Here is an 18,264-nt window from a genome sequence, read left to right as displayed (position 1 = left end):
ACAGGTAGAAATCATCAAGGAATACTTTGTGTAAATGTTTGAACATGAGCTTAATTTTGAGGATAGATAAAACTGATTAGTCAAAGTTGAGAAAGGAGAAGTTTCTAATCCAAGTGAGGTGGGAGTGGAGGATGTTGTATAAGCAAAGGCACAGAATGAATGTCAAACTGAACAGGGAGATACTGGCATATTGGAAAGAACTGGACCAGATGGAAGGCAAACAGAGAGTTTAGAATTTCATGCCAACATAAAAATGGGAAAAATATAGATTTTTAAGTAAAAGAAAATAATAAAATCAGTTTTGAGAGAGTAGCCTGGCAGATGGCTCTGATTTATTGAGTAAAAACAAACACAAACAATTCTCATATAAGTCAGAACTCGCTGTCTTCCATAAGGAGTGGGCCTTTTTTATATCTTGGGTGAAATCAGTGACTTTATGAGTTATGCTTTTGAACAAAGATGGCATGCATTATTTTCCTGGGATATTTATGCCCAACCAAAGGAAAGAAAATGAATTAAAGACAAAGGGACTTACTGCTTTCCGCTATGTTTAGGTGGGTGTATTGCTGGTGTGTATGAGATCCTGGACCTTTCAGTGATATTTACTGTCAAACGTATAATATTAGTGTGTGACAACTACAGTGAACCAAAAGGACATTGTAAAGTCTGATTTAGATAATAAAGTTGATGTTTTGTTTGCCAGGTAACAGAAACACGGACTGGTCCTCTTGGCTGCAGTAACTATGACAACCTAGATTCTGTCAGTTCTGTTCTGGTTCAGAGTCCTGAGAATAAGATTCAGTTGCAAGGTATGTTGGTAAAATTTCATTAATTCTCTACAAGCCTGAATAGCAATTATCCAGTCGTGATTTCTTTTCCATTTTTTAAAGTAAACTGCATATACATACAGGCTATTAAAAACTCTCATTAAAGGCTAATTTCATAATTTAACTGATACAAGAAAATATGAAATTCTAGACCATATGAATAAAATATCAAAAATTTTCTTTTCTTCTCAAATTAACTAAGCTATAGCAATTGAAAATCTGTCCTAATAATATTTTTCTTACGTATAGTAATCATTGTGTCATTATGTAGCAGTTTCTTCATATGCTTGCCTGAGCTTTGACTTTTTACTTAAAGATTCTTGTGAAAGTTGTAACCATATTTATGCATGGTATAAAATGAACTGTTGACATTTTATATATAACCTAATGTGGCAGTCAAGACTGTATTTTTCTCCTGGTAAATAGAAATGTACTTAAGGATATATTAACAAAATATTTATATTCATATGATTTCCATTTTAAAGATAGATTTTATAAAAATAATTTGCTATTTTCTATTACTACATAGTTTAGATATTCAATAAAGAGTATTTTATTCACAAGAACTTTTAAAAATACAATAATTATGCATACATGCTCATTCTTATAGGCAGGAACAGGTTATGAATACACACGTTTAAACACTACTAGTTGAACAAGTTCAGAGAAGTCTTTGTGATGACACTTTCTGTCAAAATTAAGTTGACTGATCAAAGAGGTAATTTTGAGTTGTTATTCTCTAGTATGCCTTTTTGAATTGCATAACTTAGAGCTGAATATTTACATTATTCAGTTTTACATAAAAATGCTTAAAAGTTTCAGAAATGCTACCATTTTTTCCCTTAACTTTGCAATCTTGAAAAATGTATCAGTGTCCCCACGTGGTGGCTTATGCCTGCAATCCTAACCCTTTGGGAGGCTGAGGCAGGAAGATCAGTTGAAGCCAGGAGTTCAAGACCAGCCTGGGCAACATAGTGAGACCTAAAAAACAATATTATCTGGGCGCTGGTGTTGCAGGCCTGCAGTCCCAGCTACTCAGGAGGCTGAGGCAGGAGGATTGCTGCACCTAAGAGTTCAAGGTTGCAGTGAGCTATGACCACACCACCGCACTCCACTGTCACTCCAGCCTGGACATCGCTGTCCACACCGCACATCACTGTCCATGCGACACTGCACATCATGTTACTCCAGCCTGGGTGACAGTGAGACCCTGTCTCTAAAAAATTAAAAAAAAATTAATTAATTAAAAGAAAAATGTAATAACATTGAATTGTTTAAATTTATCCTAAATAGTGAATGAATGCCTTTTATTTTGAGTTGTATTAAAAGTACAAAGTTCTTAAATACTTTAACAATTTAAATGTTATCCAATTTATCAATATCAATTATAGATTTACATTTATTAAAACATTTTCTCTAATTGAAATAAAAATGTTGTCCACCAATGTTTCTTGCAATTCTCTACTGCTTACTCCTTTTTAATGTATGGATTAACCTTCCCTCAGAATATGAATTGCAATAAAAATGACAGCACGTTTATACCAATTTGTATGACTACTTCAATCAGTTTATTATAAAAATTATTTACTAACAAGATTTATTGATTTGTGTCTGAATTACTATGTTCAGTTTTCAAAATATTAAATTATTTTTAAAATCCTTCAGTCCCCTATCTCTCTGGAAAAATAATTAACACAAGGAATAAATGAAGCAACATTTCTCTTTTGTATAATTATTTCTATTCTCTTCAACTAATGTGCGTAACTCAGAAACCTCCATCTCTTTCACTTTTTTTCTGTTTTCCATGTCTGTATTTTTAATTGTCTATTACAACTTTATTTATACACCTATCGGTACAAAGTCCTTTCTGAAAATACTATTAGGAAGTCAATTTCAAGACCCTCAATATTTCATGCACTCTTTCTTAAATTTAATTGGTATTTACAATCCAAGTATAATGTTGGCTAACTTTTAAACCTCTCCTTTTGTACTACCCCTCATCTACCTTATAAACTAATGGGAACAATTTGTTAATTCTGGATCAATGTTACCATGGTGCATTCCTTTGAAGGGTATAGATATTTCTGGGTCACTGTATGTGGCAATTGAAAACACTGGAATCACTGAAGAATATTTTACTAAGGTAACAACAGAGATCTTCATGTCTTTTGGGGTTAGCTAGTTAGATATTTGGTCTGATAAATGGATGGATATAGGTATAGATGATAGATAAATAGATATAGATAGTTGCTTGTGTGTTGTGTTTTCTTTCTAAGTACATGTTGAAGTTTTAGAATCAGAGCGTTTGGCCCATTTTGGAATCTTCTGAATTTAGATATATTATTGAGAGAATCCTGAAATTATCACAGTTTTTTAATAAAGAACTTCTGAAACTCTCCTCTTTCATTAGAAAAAGAAAAATTGTTCCTGAAGTGGAATTGTATCTAAGCAAAGCAAATAAAGCACCAGTAATTGTTGAAGTCAACTGGATTAGACAACTAATTCAGAACAGAACTCTAAGATTTAACCATTGGTATATGAATCAGTATTTTAAAAAATAAGATATATAAAAGATGGACTTTGAGATCTCGTTTTGCTGATAAGATTACAGAGCAGGCATTTTTCAAAAATTAAAAGAGCCATAGCTACAACTTCAATTTATTGATGAAAATATATTTAAGGTAGATAATAAAAAGTAGTTATAAGAAAATATTGGCAAATGCATATTGAAATAATACTTCAATTTTTTTCAATGCCTTCTGAGTATAACACATCAAACAAGGTGCCTCTGAGTGAAAGTATAACCAGAATAATGAAAAGTCATTTATTAAGTTTTGGTAGTAATTTTTTGGTAAAATTGGCAGACCTTGAGAAAATGAATAATTTAAAGGACTGAATTACAAGCACTTTTCCATATTAGCTAGTTCCCAATATTTTATTTAAATGAATTTGACACAGGACTAGGCTATTTTAAGGTGGATGATTAAATGTAATTTTTAATGATGGTTCATGAGTGTTTTGGCTTATAATAAAAATTGAATGATGCTGCTTCAAAAAACTGTTTTTGTTCCTGTTTATTAATTTATTGAATCACATGTTCTCAGTGCTTACATACTTAAAAATGAAGACAGATAATAATTTATGCTGAAGGAAGGGTCACTCTAGACAAAAAAAGTCCTATTAAGTCCTTCAAGCCATGTGTTTTCAAAAAGCTGATTATATTTGCTTTAAAAAAATATTTCTTCATACTTATAATAAGTGTACTTCTATTGAACTGCATATTACATATGATAGTTATAATTTGTCAGAAATATTTTTAAAATTTTTAGTATCAAGAAATCATATATACCATACATTATACTATATGATAATTAATATTATTTAAATTTTCAGTAAATATATGTATACATATTTACATTTCAAGCTATTTACTTTTATAGAAGATAAGTATGACTGTGATTAAGAAAACACATTGATTAATCAAATATATTATATTTGAATAAAAATATTTAGGGATAGTCGAATGAAATAATGACTTGGAGGAAAGAGATATGTGTGTGCCTGTGTGTGTGTGAGTGTTTGAAGAATTTTATTTCAGGAACAATTCTTTTTCCACTTGAGAAGATGTATGAAAAAGAAGGTCATTACTAAAAACTCATAATTCACACAAACATATATCTATACACTCACTATACATACATATATACTTTTTTTATATTTGTATATCTTGTTCAAATTTTATTTTTAAAAGATGTATTAGTTACCAAATCAACAGGAATTATATTTCATTTGTACATATATAGAAGCAGAGTAATATTTTTATTGTAAAATATGCATATTAATAATACCACAGTTTACCAGCTTTGGGCCTCTTTTATGTATAACGAAAATTTTAAACAGGAGCTTACTCATGTCCAAAGTAGTGCTTATGTTTTCAAAACTATTTAAGGTAGTTCATGAGCAAAATAGCATTGAAGAACATTGACCAGCTGGTCATTTTTACTTAGCTATTTGTCTTGCCATAACATATGGTGATATGCTGCAAATTAATTTACAATTTTTTACGTTCCTCATCAATTTTCTAATATTATTTTATATTTGTTTAACAAATATCATTTATTTCCTTTCTTTCCTCTCATTCTGTGTTATATTTAAATGTGGTTTAGGCCTTTCCATCATAACACAAATCTTTTATGCTATTTTCTGTATTTCATATCTTTTTGCCCTTTTATTCCTTTTAAACGTATTCTTCTGCAATATTTCAGTTCCCTAATTATCTCTTAAATGTCTATGCTGCTGTTAAAGCTATCCATTGGTTCTTAATTTCAAATTATGCATTTTTATTTGTAAAATAGCCACTTGATTTTTCTTTATAATTTCTAGTTCCTTGCCATATTGTCTGTTTTGTTATTAAATTTTTGATCATGTGATTGAAATTAATTTATCATTCTTGTTTGACACCCTCTATACCATCCCTTGTCTTTTTATATGTTCATCATATTTTATTGAATTCTGTTTTGAGTGAAAATTTATAAAAATATTTTAAAATTATTGATGGTGCATTTTCCTTCAGAGAAGATTTAGTTTCAATGCTATTTTAATTAATTTTGAAATATGCCAGTTGGAACTATACTTCAGATCTGGTGAAAGCTAGTGGTTTCTTTGTGTGTGTGTGTGTGTGTGTGTGTGTGTGTGTGTGTGTGTGTGTTTTGTTTTGTTTTTCTTTACTCTGGGTATGTAGCTCATCTAGTAACTAAATCCTGAGGAAGTTACTATCTCTGTCATGGTTGGTATAAATGTCAATTTGTACTTTGTTCTGGGCAGAACTCTAATGGAAAAGATATGCCCAACATATTAGTCTGTTCTTATGCTGCTAATAAAGACATACTTGAGACTGGGTAATTTCTAAAGAGAATAGGTTTAATTTACTCCAGTTCCACATGGCCGAGGATGCCTCACAATCATGACAGAGGCAAGGAGGAGCAAAGTCACATCTTATATGGGGGCAGACAAGAGAGAGTTTGTGCAGGGGAGGTCCCATTTATAAAACCATCACATCTTCTGAGACTTATTCACTATCATGAGAAAACCTTCCTCCATGATTCTATTACCTCCCACTGGGTCCCTCCCACGACATGTGGGGATTATTACAGTTCAAAGTGAGATTTTGTGGGGGACACAGAGCCAAACCATATAACCCAATATTGGGCTCACTCTGCCTGTAGGATTACCTTATTTCCAGGTTAACCCCAGAAATTCTCACTTCATTTTTGTCCTTGTTATCTCTTCAGATTATTTTTAATACTTTACCTAGATTTCCTAGTTGGTTCCATGAGAAGGTGGGTTGAAAACAAACTAGTCCTTTCACACCGGAAACATTCATATTTTACTCTGTGGTTCTCAGCTTGTAGCAGTTGCCCTCACATCCTGGCTTTTACAGGAAGCACATAGGCTCAAAACTAAGCTTTGTTAAGCATTGTTCCAGCACTAGGTAGACCTGGTCTAAATATAGTGCTGTCAGTATTCCTGCTTTCCTGTTTCTGTACATAGCAGAAAAAAAAAGAAAATTCCGTGGCCAGCCCTGAACCACTCCGAGTTGTTTGTCAGAGCAGGCCAAGCTATCTCTCTAGGAACCAACTAGTTCTTATCGGTGGTCTGGTTATAAAATTCAAGTGTTTTGAGCGCTGCGTCCCTAAACCTCTTTTCTCAAAACTCTTTAATTTTATAATGGTTTTACAGAATGTGAGTTTCCTTCTTTTAGCAGTGTATGTATGTATCATCATAGCAGGAGTATTTGTGTTTCTAAAGCGGAACTCACCATTTCTTGCCACCAATCATTCCTCCCCAAATTACTTCTCCTGCCTTCTCTATTTCTCCAAAAGCACTACCGTCTTACAGATTCAACGTTGTAATGCAATGATGTGCTTTATGACTATGAAAATGGTACGCGAGTTCTTTGGTTTTTTTGTGTGTGAAATTAAGATTAAAATGGATAAGTAGTTTACAAGTATCTAGTCCACACTCAATTACTGTTACCTTAGGTCTTTTAATAAATATATACTGATTCCTGAGTTCCTTGAGCAAAGACTCTGAATTATTCAAATTGTTTTTAGCACTTTAAGTTTTCAGAAAAAAAAAAATCACTAGGTGTATCTGAAATGTGCAGTAATTTGGTAAACCATAGGACTAGACGATTAAGAAAATTTCTGAATGTATCATTTTATGCCTCTAAGTATTTTAACACTTTTTACTTGCCTTAGATCAAATACAGTACTATCTAGCAGATTCTCACTATTCCTCTATTACCTTAATTTCTTTCCCTAGTGTGGATTTTTTCAGTCTTCTTAAAGATCTTAAATCTAATCTTAAAAATTAGTCAACTCTAATATATTTCTTTACCTTCTACTTCCAAATGGGTACCACTCTTAGTATCCCACATGGTAAAATTAATTTAAATCTAAATGAATTAATTCTATATTCCCTGACATAGGAATCCCAACAACATGACTCCTCATTTATGTGTGTAAGCACCTCTTTCATTGTATTCTTATAGCCCATTTGCAATGAAACAATATTACTACTTTCATTTCCAAAATATATTAATATATAACCCAGCTTTTTATCTGTGTGTGATGCTGTTAATGTATCACTCTTCAGCACAGTCACTCAATATTGAAAACTATACATCTGTCAAATAATGTTCAATGCCTAACTTTTTAATAAAAAGTTTTTTTACTTTTGTGAACTTAATATAATTGTTTAGCCAATTAATTATATTTATTGAATCACATGTATCTTATATAGTTGCATCTTTTATTTTTCTTAAATATACTGCAGATATCTCTGTGACAAATAAATTTCTCAGTCACCCTCATATTTGTATCTTACCTAGCAATTTTATTCAAAATGAGACTGTTCAATAAATATTTATTCCAGGTGAAATGAAAATTAATATGAAATCGAATATATAAGTTCTAAGAGTACTTTTTCCAACAATTTGCAAAGGAAATTTTGCAATTTGTCAACATATTTGTAAATTAATTTTTTTCTAAATGTTAATCAATGATTTTTATTAAATCAACCTCTAAGATAATAGTCAAGGGTCAACATTGATTTTTTTGTTAAACAGAAAACATGTGAAATTATAAAAATTCAGTTTTCTGGTAAGTAACACTTTGCTATTACCAGATTTTTCCTTAGCTTTGTATTCATTTTTACCTACTTATTTGTTTAAATATTTAGTATTTAAGTATTCTTAAGTAGCCAGACATACTGAAAAACTACATTTTTGAAATATCGTAATAAATGCTACACCCTGAGAAAAGCCCAAATCTTAATTTTACAATATTTTGGACAGTTTTTTAAGAGATAGCAACTTTACTAAACATGTTTCTAGAAAACTAATGAGTTATATCACTAGGACTGTTGACACATGGCAAAAAATAAACTGTGAAATAACTAAATCAGTCCATCTGATTCCTGTAGTTATTTTTGGTACTCACTCTTGAAAAATAGAATTATATAACTTATATGTTGTTAATGGCATGAGATAAGCCTTACCATCAACATTCAATATGTATTTTATCAATGGCACAACCCATTATATGATATTTACATTGATGTGGGCTGATAGTCTGCAAACAAAATGAAAATATTGAAAACCATTTGAAATCAACTGGTAGAAAATAAATGCATATGTGTATTTTCAAAGGTTTAGAAAGATAGGCTCCATCTATATTATGTAAAAATAACCAAATATTGTGATAAATTACATCAAATAGTCTGAGTTTTCAATCATCTCCATGATTAATCATCTCTATTTCTGAAGTTTCATATTCATGGAGTCAGAATATGTTGAAAGAGTTATAAATATTTGCAGCATATAGACTTAGATATTTTTCTGATAGTTTAAAAATACATAATTCAAAATTTAATACACTAAATTATTTACTGTTTTGATTGAATATTATAAATAAGTATTTTAATTTTTTCTTTAACAAAGTAAATTTGTTAATTTCTTTGTTTGTTCTTCAAGGGCTTCAAGTACTTCTCCCAGACTATCTTCAGGAACGTTTTGTACAAGCAGCTTTGAGCTACATTGCTTGCAATTCAGAGGGAGAGTTTATCTGCAAGGAAAATGACTGCTGGTGTCACTGTGGTCCCAAATTTCCAGAATGCAACTGCCCCTCCATGGACATTCAAGCCATGGAAGAGAATCTTCTTCGAATAACTGAAACCTGGAAAGCTTACAACAGTGACTTTGAGGAATCAGGTAAGACATGTATTTTAATATAACACTTTTAAATATTGACAAAAAATATATTGAAATGGCTAATTTGTCCTTTTTCAAGAAACTATTACATAGTTGGAAAGATTTTCATTTTTTTATTCTTTCAAATGGACATTTTCATTGCTTTTACTACTGGTTATTAACTAGTGCTTTGTGTATTGCTATGTACTATTGGCATTAGAGTTTAGCCTGATCCTAAGTTGATGTATTAGTCACTTAATAAATAAAGTTCTTGCTTTTCTCAGTACAAGAAATTTTAAGTTATCATCTGATACCTCTGAGGTTTTTCTCTACTTTTCTAGTGTCTGCTTTTCTCTTGTGCAGCAAAATGAAGACAGCATTTGTTCTATACCTTTTTCAACATGATTCTCATTAGTGCTTATTTTCACTTCACTTATTTCTACAATGAAGTTATCTAAATTTTAATTTTATAGTGTTTTGTGAGTTTTGTTATGATTGTTTTATTTTTACTTGGTTAAAACATACATATAAAATTTACTATCTTTGCGATTTTTAAGCACACTTAATAAATACATTTTTATTCTTTTATTTTCCCTGCATTTTCTCCCAGCCCCCACTACCCTTCCTGGCCTCTGGAAACCACCGTTCTACTCTCTATCTTCATGAGTTCTACTTTTTTTAGCTTCCACATATGAGTGGGAACATGTGGGTTAGAATATTTGTCTTTCTGTGATTGACTTATTTCACTTAATATAAAGGCCTCTTGTTCCATCCATGTTGTTGCAGATGACAAGATTTCATTCTATTTTATGGCTGAATAATATTCCATTGTGTATATATAACACATTCTCTTAATCTATTCATCCACTGATGGGCAGTTAAATTGAATCCGTATTTGGTTATTGGGAATAGTGCTGCAATAAATAAGGGAGTGCAGCTATATATTCAATATACTGATTTCCTTTATTTTGTATATATATTCAGTAGTGAGATTAATAATATGGTACTTCTACTTTAGGTGTTTGAGCAAACTCCATAGAGTTCTCCTTAGTGGCTCTACTAATCTATATTTCCACCAACAGTGTAGAAGGGTTCCCCTTTCTCTGCATCCTCACCAGCACCTGTTATTGCCTGTCTTTTGATACAACCCATTTTAAATTGTAGTTTTGACTTGCATTTCTCTGATAATTAGTGATGTTGAGCATTATTTCATATATCTGTTTGCCATCTTTATGTCTTCTTATGAGAAATATGTATTCAGATATTCTGCCCAGTCTTTAATTGGGTTATTAGTTTTGGTTTTTAGTATTTTGTTTTGGTTATTTAGTTGTTTGAGCTCCTTATGTATTCTGGTTATTAATCCCTGGACAGATGAATGGTTTGTAAATATTTTCTCCCATTCTGTGGGTTATCTCTTCACTTTGCTGATTGTTTACTGTACAGAGGCTTTTTAGCTTGATATAATTCCATTTGTCTATTTTTTGCTTTAGTTGTCTGTAATGTTGAGGTTTTACAAACAAAAAAATCTTTGCCCAGACCAATGTCCTGTAGTGTTTCCTAAATAATTTCGTTTTTAGTTTTATATTTTTAAGTTTTAGATTTAAGTCTATAATTTATTTTTATTTGATTTTTGTGTATGGTGAGAGATAGGGGTCTAGATTTTTTCTGCATAAAATTATCCATTTTTTCCAGCAATATTTATTTAAAAGATTTTCTTTTCCCCAACGTATGTGTAGTCTTTGTCAAAGTTGAGTTGGCTGTAAATGTGTGGATATATATATGGTTCTCTATTCTATTCCATTGGTCTATGTGTCTGCTTTTATCCCAGTACTATGCTGTTTTGATTGTGATAGCTTTGTAGTAAATTTGAAGTCAGGTGGTGTGATGATTCTAGCTTTGTTCTTTTTTGCTCATGATTACTTTAGTTATTTGGGTATCTTTTGATGTCCTGCACATATTTTATAATTTTTTTTTTCTATTTCTGTGAAGAATGCCACTGTTTTGATGGGGATTGTGCTGAATCCGTAAATTGCTTTAGTAGTATTGTCATTTTAACAACATTAAATATTCCAATCCATACATATGAAATATCTTTACATTATTTGTGTGTTTTCTTGTACTTTTTGCATAAGAATTTCATAGTTTTTCTTATATAGATCTTTCCATTATTTGGTTTGATTGCTTTGAGGTATTTTATACAGTTGTAGCCATAGTAAATGAGGTTGCTTTCTTGTTTTTTCAGATTATTTGTTGATTTCTGTAGTTTATTTTGTATCCCGCAACTTTACTGAATGTTTTTATCAATTTTAACATTGTTTTTATTGAGGTTTTTTCTAGGTATGAAATTGTGTTGTCTACAAACAACGCTAATTTGACTTCTTCTTTCCAGTTTTTATGCTTTTTATTTAGTTCTTTTCCCTACTTGTTCTGGAGAGGACTTTCCATGTCATGTTGAATAAAAGTGGTGAAAGTAAGCATTCTTATCTTGTTCCAGTCTTTAAAGAAAAGGCCTTTCTCATAAGAAAAAATTATTTTTCTCATTCAGCACAGTGTTAACTGTGGGTTTGTCATACATGGCCTTTATAATTTTGAAGTGTATTCTCTCTATACCCATTTTGATGAGAGTTTTTATCATGAACTGTTGTTCAATTTTATCAAGTGCTTTTTTGGCATCTATTGAAATAATGATATGTTTATTTTCTTGATTCTGCTAATGTGATGCATCACGTTTGTTGATTTGCATGTGTTGAACCATCTTTGTATCCCTAGGATGAATTTCACTTGATCATGTTAATGTGTTGTTGAATTTGGTTTGCTAGTGTTTTGTTGATTATCTTTGCATCTCTGCTCATCAGTGATATTGATCTGTAGTGTTCTTATTGGTTTCTTGTCATGTTTTTGTCTGGTTTTAGTATCAGGGTAATGCTGACCTCATATAATGAGTTTGGAGTATTACCTTCCTTCCAAATTTTTGGAGAATTTGGGTAGAACTGATATTGGTTCTTCTTTAAATTTTGGTAGAGTTAGCAGTGAAGCCAATGATCCTGAGCTTCATTTTGATGGAAGACTTTGAATTATCTCTTTGATAGCCATATTGATTTTTGGCTTGTTAATTTTTTTTTTATTTCTTCATTGTTCAATCTTGGTAAGTTGTGTGTGTCCAGGAATTTATTCATTTCTTCCAAGTTTTCCAATTTGTTGGCATGCAGTTGTTCACAATAGTCTCTAACGATTCTTTGTGCTTCTGGGTTCTCAGTTGTTATGTCTCCTTTTTCATTTCTGATTTTATTTAATTAGGTCTTTTTTTTCTTAGACAAAGAATTTGTCAGTTTTGATTATCTTTTCAAAAACCCAACTTTTTCTATCATTGATCTTATGTATTTTTCTAGTATAAATTTCATTTATTTCCCTTTTTCATTTCTTATTTTATTTATTTGCCTCTTCTTCCTTTATTCTTAATCTGGCTAAGGGTTTGTTAATATCTTTTCAAACATGCAGCTTTTCCTTTTGTTGATCTTATGTATTTTTTTGTCTCAACTTTATTCATATCTGCTGTGATTTTTATTATTTCTTCTATTAATTTGGGGTTTGGTTTATTCTTGCTTTTCTCGTTCGTTGAGGTTCATTGTTAGGTTATTTGAAGTCTTTATACTCTTTTAATTTAGGCATTTATTACTATAAACATCCCGCTTGATATAGATGTTATTGTATCTCAAGTTTTGGTTTGTTGTATTTTTGTTTTCATTTGTTTTTTTTAATTGCCTTCTTATTTTTTTAATTGACTCATTAGCTGTCCAGTAGGATGTTTTATTTCTATGTGTTTGTGTATTTTCCAAGGTTCCTCTTGTTTTCAATTTGTGGTTTTTATTCCATTGTGGTCAGAAAAGTTACTTGATAAGATTTTTATTTTTTAATTTATTCAGACTTTTTTGTTGCTTAAGATATGACCTATTCTGAAGAATGTTCCATGCACTGAAGGAAAGAATGTATATTCTGCAGCAGTTGGGTGAAATGTTTTGTTAATGTCATCTAGGGCCCATTAGATCTAGTGCGTAGTTTAACTGTGCTCTTTCTTTCTTGATTTTCTGTCTGGATGATATGTTCATTACTGATACGAGGGTGTTAAATTCCCCTGCTGTTATTTTATTATAGTCTTATATATATTTTTAGCTCTACTAATGTGTGCTTTATATACTTATAGGAAACTCTGTTGTTGGGCATAAAACTATTGATAATTGTTATATTATCTTGCTGTATTGACCCCTTTATCATTTTATATTGACCTCCTATGTCTTTTTAAATCTTAGATTTTTAATCTATTTTGTCTGATATAGGTATAGCTACTCCTGCTCCTTTGTTTTCCAGTTGCATCGAGTATCTTTTTCCACCCCTTCACGCTCAGTCTATGTGTATCTTTCTACATTAAGTGGATTTTTTGAAGGCAACATATAGTTGGGTCTTACTTCTTTATTCATTCAGCCACTATACACGTTATAATTGGGGAAGTGAGATCATTTACATTCAGTGTTATTATTGATAAATAAGTGCACACTACTGCCATTTTGTGGCTTGTTTTCTGGTTCGTTTTAGTCTCTTCTTCTCTTCTTACTGTCTTTCTTTGTGATTAAGTGATTTTCATTGGTAGTGTGTTTTAATTTGTTGCTTTTCATTTTCCATGAATTTATCTCAAGTTATGAGGCTTACAAAAATCATCTTATAGATATAGTAAGTTATGCTAAAGAGAAGACAACTTACCTTGGATAACAAACTAAGAACAGAAACAACAAAGACAAAAAGCACACAAAAAATTTTACACTTTAACTCCACTCACCCACATGTTTACTTTTAGTTGCCCCAGTTTACTTTTTTTGTTGTTTGTTTGTTTGAGATGGAGTCTCACTCTGTCGCCTAGGCTGGAGTGTAGTGGTGCGATCTCAGCTCACTGCAACCTCTGCCTCCCGGGTTCAAGCGATTCTCTTGCTTCAGCCACCCAAGTAGTTGGGATTACAGGCATCTGCCACCATGCCCGACTAATTTTTGTGTTTGTAGTAGAGACAGGGTTTCACCATGTTGGCCAGGCTGGTCTCGAACTCCTCTGTTTACAGATTTTTATACTATCTCTTAGAAAGTTGCTATAGCTATTACTGTTTTTGACAGATTTTACTTTTGGGCTTCATATGAGGTTACAAGAGAATTGCACACCAAAATTAAAGTGACAGAGTATTCTGAGTTTGTCCTTGTACTTAATTTTACCAGTGGGATTTATGCCTTGAAAACTTTTTTTTGGCATATTTGTATGTTTTTACTTTCAGACTGAAGAGCTTCCTTTATCATTTCTTGTAAGATGAGTCTGGTGGTGGTAAATTCTCTCCATTTTTGTTTATTTGGGAAATAGTTTATCTCTCCTTCATGTTTTAAGGATGATTTTGCCTAATACAATATTTTTGAGTTGCAATTTTTTTTATCTTTGAACACATTGAAAATGCCATTGAGAAGTTTGTCGCCAGACAAATTGAAGCTCCTTTTATGTCTTTTATGTTATTTGCTTCTTTTTTAAAAAAAATTATACTTTAAGTTCTGCGTTACATGTGCAGAACGTGCAGTTTTGTTACATAGGTATACACGGGCCATGGTGGTTTGCTACACCCATCAACCCGTCACCAACATTAGGTATTTCTCCTAATGTTAACCCTCCCCTAGCCCCCAACCCCTGACAGGCCCTGATGTGTGATGTTCCTCTCCCTGTGTCCGTGTGATCTCATTGTTCAACTCCCACATATGATTGAGAACATGCAGTGTTTGGTTTTCTGATCTTACGATAGTTAGCTGAGAATGATGGTTTCCAGCTTCACCCATGTCCCTGTAAAGGACATGAACTCATCCTTTTTGCTTCTTTTCTCTTGCTGCTTTTAGGATTCTCTCTTTTTCATTGATCTTAGGGAGTTTGGTTATTATATGCCTTGGAGGTAGTCTTATCGGGATTGAATCTGACTAGTATTCCCAGATCGTTCTATACCTGAATATTTCTCAAGCTTTGCACAGTTTTTCATTATTTATTTGACTAAAATTTCCACTCCTTGATCTTGCTCAGCTCACTTTTGAATACCAATAATTCTTCAATTTGGTCTTTTGAGGTAATTTTCTGTATCTTATAGGTGGTCTTTGTTCCTTTTCATGTTTTTCATTTGTTTGCTTGTTTGTTTCCCTCTGACTGTGTATTTCCCTTTTTTTAAAATTTATTATTATTATTATTATTTTAATTTTTTTTTTGGAGTCTCACTCTGTCACCCAGGCTGGAGTGCAGTGGTGAGATCTTGGCTCACTGAAACCTCCACCTCCCAGGTTCAAGCGATTCTCCTGCCTCAGCTTCCTGAGTAGCTGGGACTACAGACATCCGCCACCACATCCAGCTAATTTTTGTATTTTTAGTAGAGACAGGGTTTCACCATGTTGGCCAGGATGGTCTCGATCTCTTGACCTCGTGATCCACCCACCTCGGCCTCCCAAAGTGCTGGGATTACAGGCGTGAGCCACCATTCCTGGCCCTGACTATGTATTTTCAAATAGCCAGTCTTTTAGCTCACTGATTCTTTTCTCTGCTTGGTCCATTCTACTGTTGAGACCTCTAATGAATTGTTCAGTTCAGGAAATGTATTTCTCTATTCCATGATTTCTGTTTGATTTTTTATTATTTTAATATCTTTGTTAAATTTCTCTAATAAATTTCAGAATTGCTTTTCTGTGTTATCTTAGAGATCACTGAGTTTCCTGAAAACTGCTGTTTTGAATTCTTGGTCAGAGAGCTCACAAATCAGCATCTTGTTTGGGTCAGTCACTCAATTTTTGTTCTGTCTTTTTGAGGAGGTCATGGTTTCCTGTTTGCTGTTGTTTCTTATGGGTAAATGTCTGTGAATTGCATTGAAGGATTAATTATTAATTCCAGTTTTATCTGTCCAATTTTTTTCATTTATAGTTAAATATGCTTGCTCCGTGATTCTTTACTGCTAGGTCTGCTTTATTCTTGGCTCTTAGTTGTGCCTGAATCCCCTATTTGCATTGCCGTTGTAAATAATGAGAGCACTGGCAGTCCTGAATGGAGTTGGTCCCAAAGGAATTATCCTAGTACTGTGTGAAGGTGACAAAACATGTTCCAGACAAGAGAAAACACAATGATGGCTTCAACAAAATATTTTGCTTTTGTTGTTGTTGTTGGAAATAACACAAATTACACAATGAAAGGGTAAATAGATTTAGGAAGAGTTAGTAAATGTAGGCTCCCTTAAGATTTATTTGATCAAAATAGAGCATTAAAAACAACCAAAATAATGGAAGCAGACATTGGTGAATAGAGGGGACAAGGAGGGTGGGGGGAGGTATGAGGATGTGATCATCAAATGTTGCAAAGTTTCAGTTAGACCGGAAAAATAGGTTTTGAGATCTATAGCATAGCATGTTGACTTGTTAATAAAATGTATGTTTCAAAATTGCCAACAGAATATATTTCTAATATATTTCAAATATTCTCACCATAAAAAAATAAGTATTTGAGGTGGTAGATATGTTAATTAGTTTGAATTACTCATTCTTCATTATATACATATATAATAACATCCAGTGTTACCTCATAAATGTATACAATTATAATTCTTCAAATTACAATAAAATACACATCAATTAAAAATGATTTTAAAATCATGGTATATTTACACAATGGAATTGTATAAAGCTTGAAGGAATGGACTATCCAAAATATGAATAAATCTCTGAAATATCACATTGAACAAAAGAAGCCAAACTTAAAAATACATATATGATTCCATTTATATTAAGTATAAAACAAGCAAAGCTTACCTGTACTATTATGAATCAGGGCAATGATGCCTTTGCCTAAGCAAGGGCTGATGTGATGGATGAGAGTCTGGGAGGCTCTTTTGGTACCAAAAATGTATTATTTCTTTATCTAGGAGCCCGGCTATATGGTGTATATAGTTTTTGAAAATTCTGAGTTATACACTTACAATATTTATATTTTTCTGTATTCGTGTAATTTAATAAAATAAAAAATTAGCACTTTGGCAACTAAATACTCTGAAGGACATACTGACAGAATAATTGAATAGATTAATATTTTCAAAGCTCACTACATGTTATGTGTTTAAATTAGTAGCAAATTGGTAAATATTTGATCTGGAACATTCATTGACCAGAGATTTTGAAGTACTGATTAGAAGCCAGTCCTAACAAAAGTCAGACTTCTTAATCTTATCTCACATTTGGACTGTTCATCTTAGGTTTATAACCAAAGGCTCTTGCCATAGTGGATGCCGTTATGTCGATATTGGGAAAACAGTGATCTACAGAATAAATCTATTTTCTGATATAGTATCCCTGAAACTATTTCTAATATTGAAAATTACAACATTGAATTATTTGCTGTAATCAGTGGTCAAATGTATTTAGCTGATTCATATTTCACTTGAGAAGTTGCCCTACTTTGCTGTAAACTTAAGAATTCATCACAGAAAAATATTTATATTATTTTTAATTTCAGGGTATAGATAGCTAAATAATGAACCCAAACATTTTATTCATAAATTATATCTTCAGTAAAACCACATTCACTTTTCTTGGAACTAAACAATTGGTAAAATACTGTATTTATATTGGACTCTTTTTAAAACTAGTAAGATATATGAAAGAGCACATGTAATAGTTTTGAGAAAAGCTTTTGGTTAAGAGAAACATTTTTTTTTTGCCTCATAACAGATAAACAAAATATAAGAAGTAATGAGGCAGCTATTACATTGGGAAAATAATTCTAAAATATTATCACCACTCACAGGCTCTTGTAAGTTGATGGTCTTTATTCTAAGTACCATGATTGTAAGGAAATGCACCAGCTTATTTCATTTCCCTGATGGTTGGGAAAGCTTTGGAATTATGTGCAAGTGCACTCTTTACATGTTTCTGCTGGGAATTCTTCACTTTTAGGTGCAAGACATACTAATTTGTCTATTCTTATCTACAGGCTTGAAATTCAAATCCTGTTATACTCTACATAGACAATAAAAATTGGAATGGAGTTTTAGGTTACTTTCAAAGGCTGATTCAATGTAATGTGAAAAATTAAACAAATGCAAGTAAATAACTTATCTAAAAGTTATTTTTATTAAAACAGAAAAAAAA

The 18,264-nt window shown here is 31.8% G+C and overlaps 1 protein-coding gene and 1 long non-coding RNA gene across 16 annotated transcripts in view, besides 1 other annotated feature; one reads left to right on the top strand and one right to left on the bottom strand.

Moving 5' to 3' along the window:
* LOC105371659 (uncharacterized) overlaps positions 1-6,217 on the bottom strand; it is a 36,078-nt gene extending 29,861 nt beyond the window's left edge. For both annotated transcript variants that reach the window (XR_922376.3, XR_007067044.1), the window contains exon 1: positions 6,138-6,217. This is a non-coding gene — a long non-coding RNA (uncharacterized LOC105371659). The remainder of the gene's footprint in view (positions 1-6,137) is intronic.
* BRINP3 (BMP/retinoic acid inducible neural specific 3) overlaps positions 1-18,264 on the top strand; it is a 380,207-nt gene that overhangs the window by 242,684 nt on the left and 119,259 nt on the right. For all 14 annotated transcript variants that reach the window (XM_017001129.2, NM_199051.3, XM_017001127.2 and 11 more), the window contains 2 exons: positions 704-809; positions 8,863-9,099. In XM_017001129.2, the coding sequence (XP_016856618.1) occupies positions 704-809; positions 8,863-9,099 (343 nt within the window). The remainder of the gene's footprint in view (positions 1-703; positions 810-8,862; positions 9,100-18,264) is intronic.
* Positions 6,395-6,595: a silencer, noted in NCBI's record as "peak561 fragment used in MPRA reporter construct". NCBI's record gives its function as "represses an SCP1 promoter by STARR-seq MPRAs in K562 erythroleukemia cells {active_cell/tissue: K562}" and the evidence as "EXISTENCE:reporter gene assay evidence [ECO:0000049][PMID:32103011]".

The sequence above is a fragment of the Homo sapiens genome, chromosome 1 (assembly GCF_000001405.40).
Source record: "Homo sapiens chromosome 1, GRCh38.p14 Primary Assembly".
NCBI lineage: Eukaryota > Metazoa > Chordata > Mammalia > Primates > Hominidae > Homo > Homo sapiens.
Note: the sequence above shows the minus strand (reverse complement) of the source record. Positions and strands in the feature narration are given on the sequence as shown.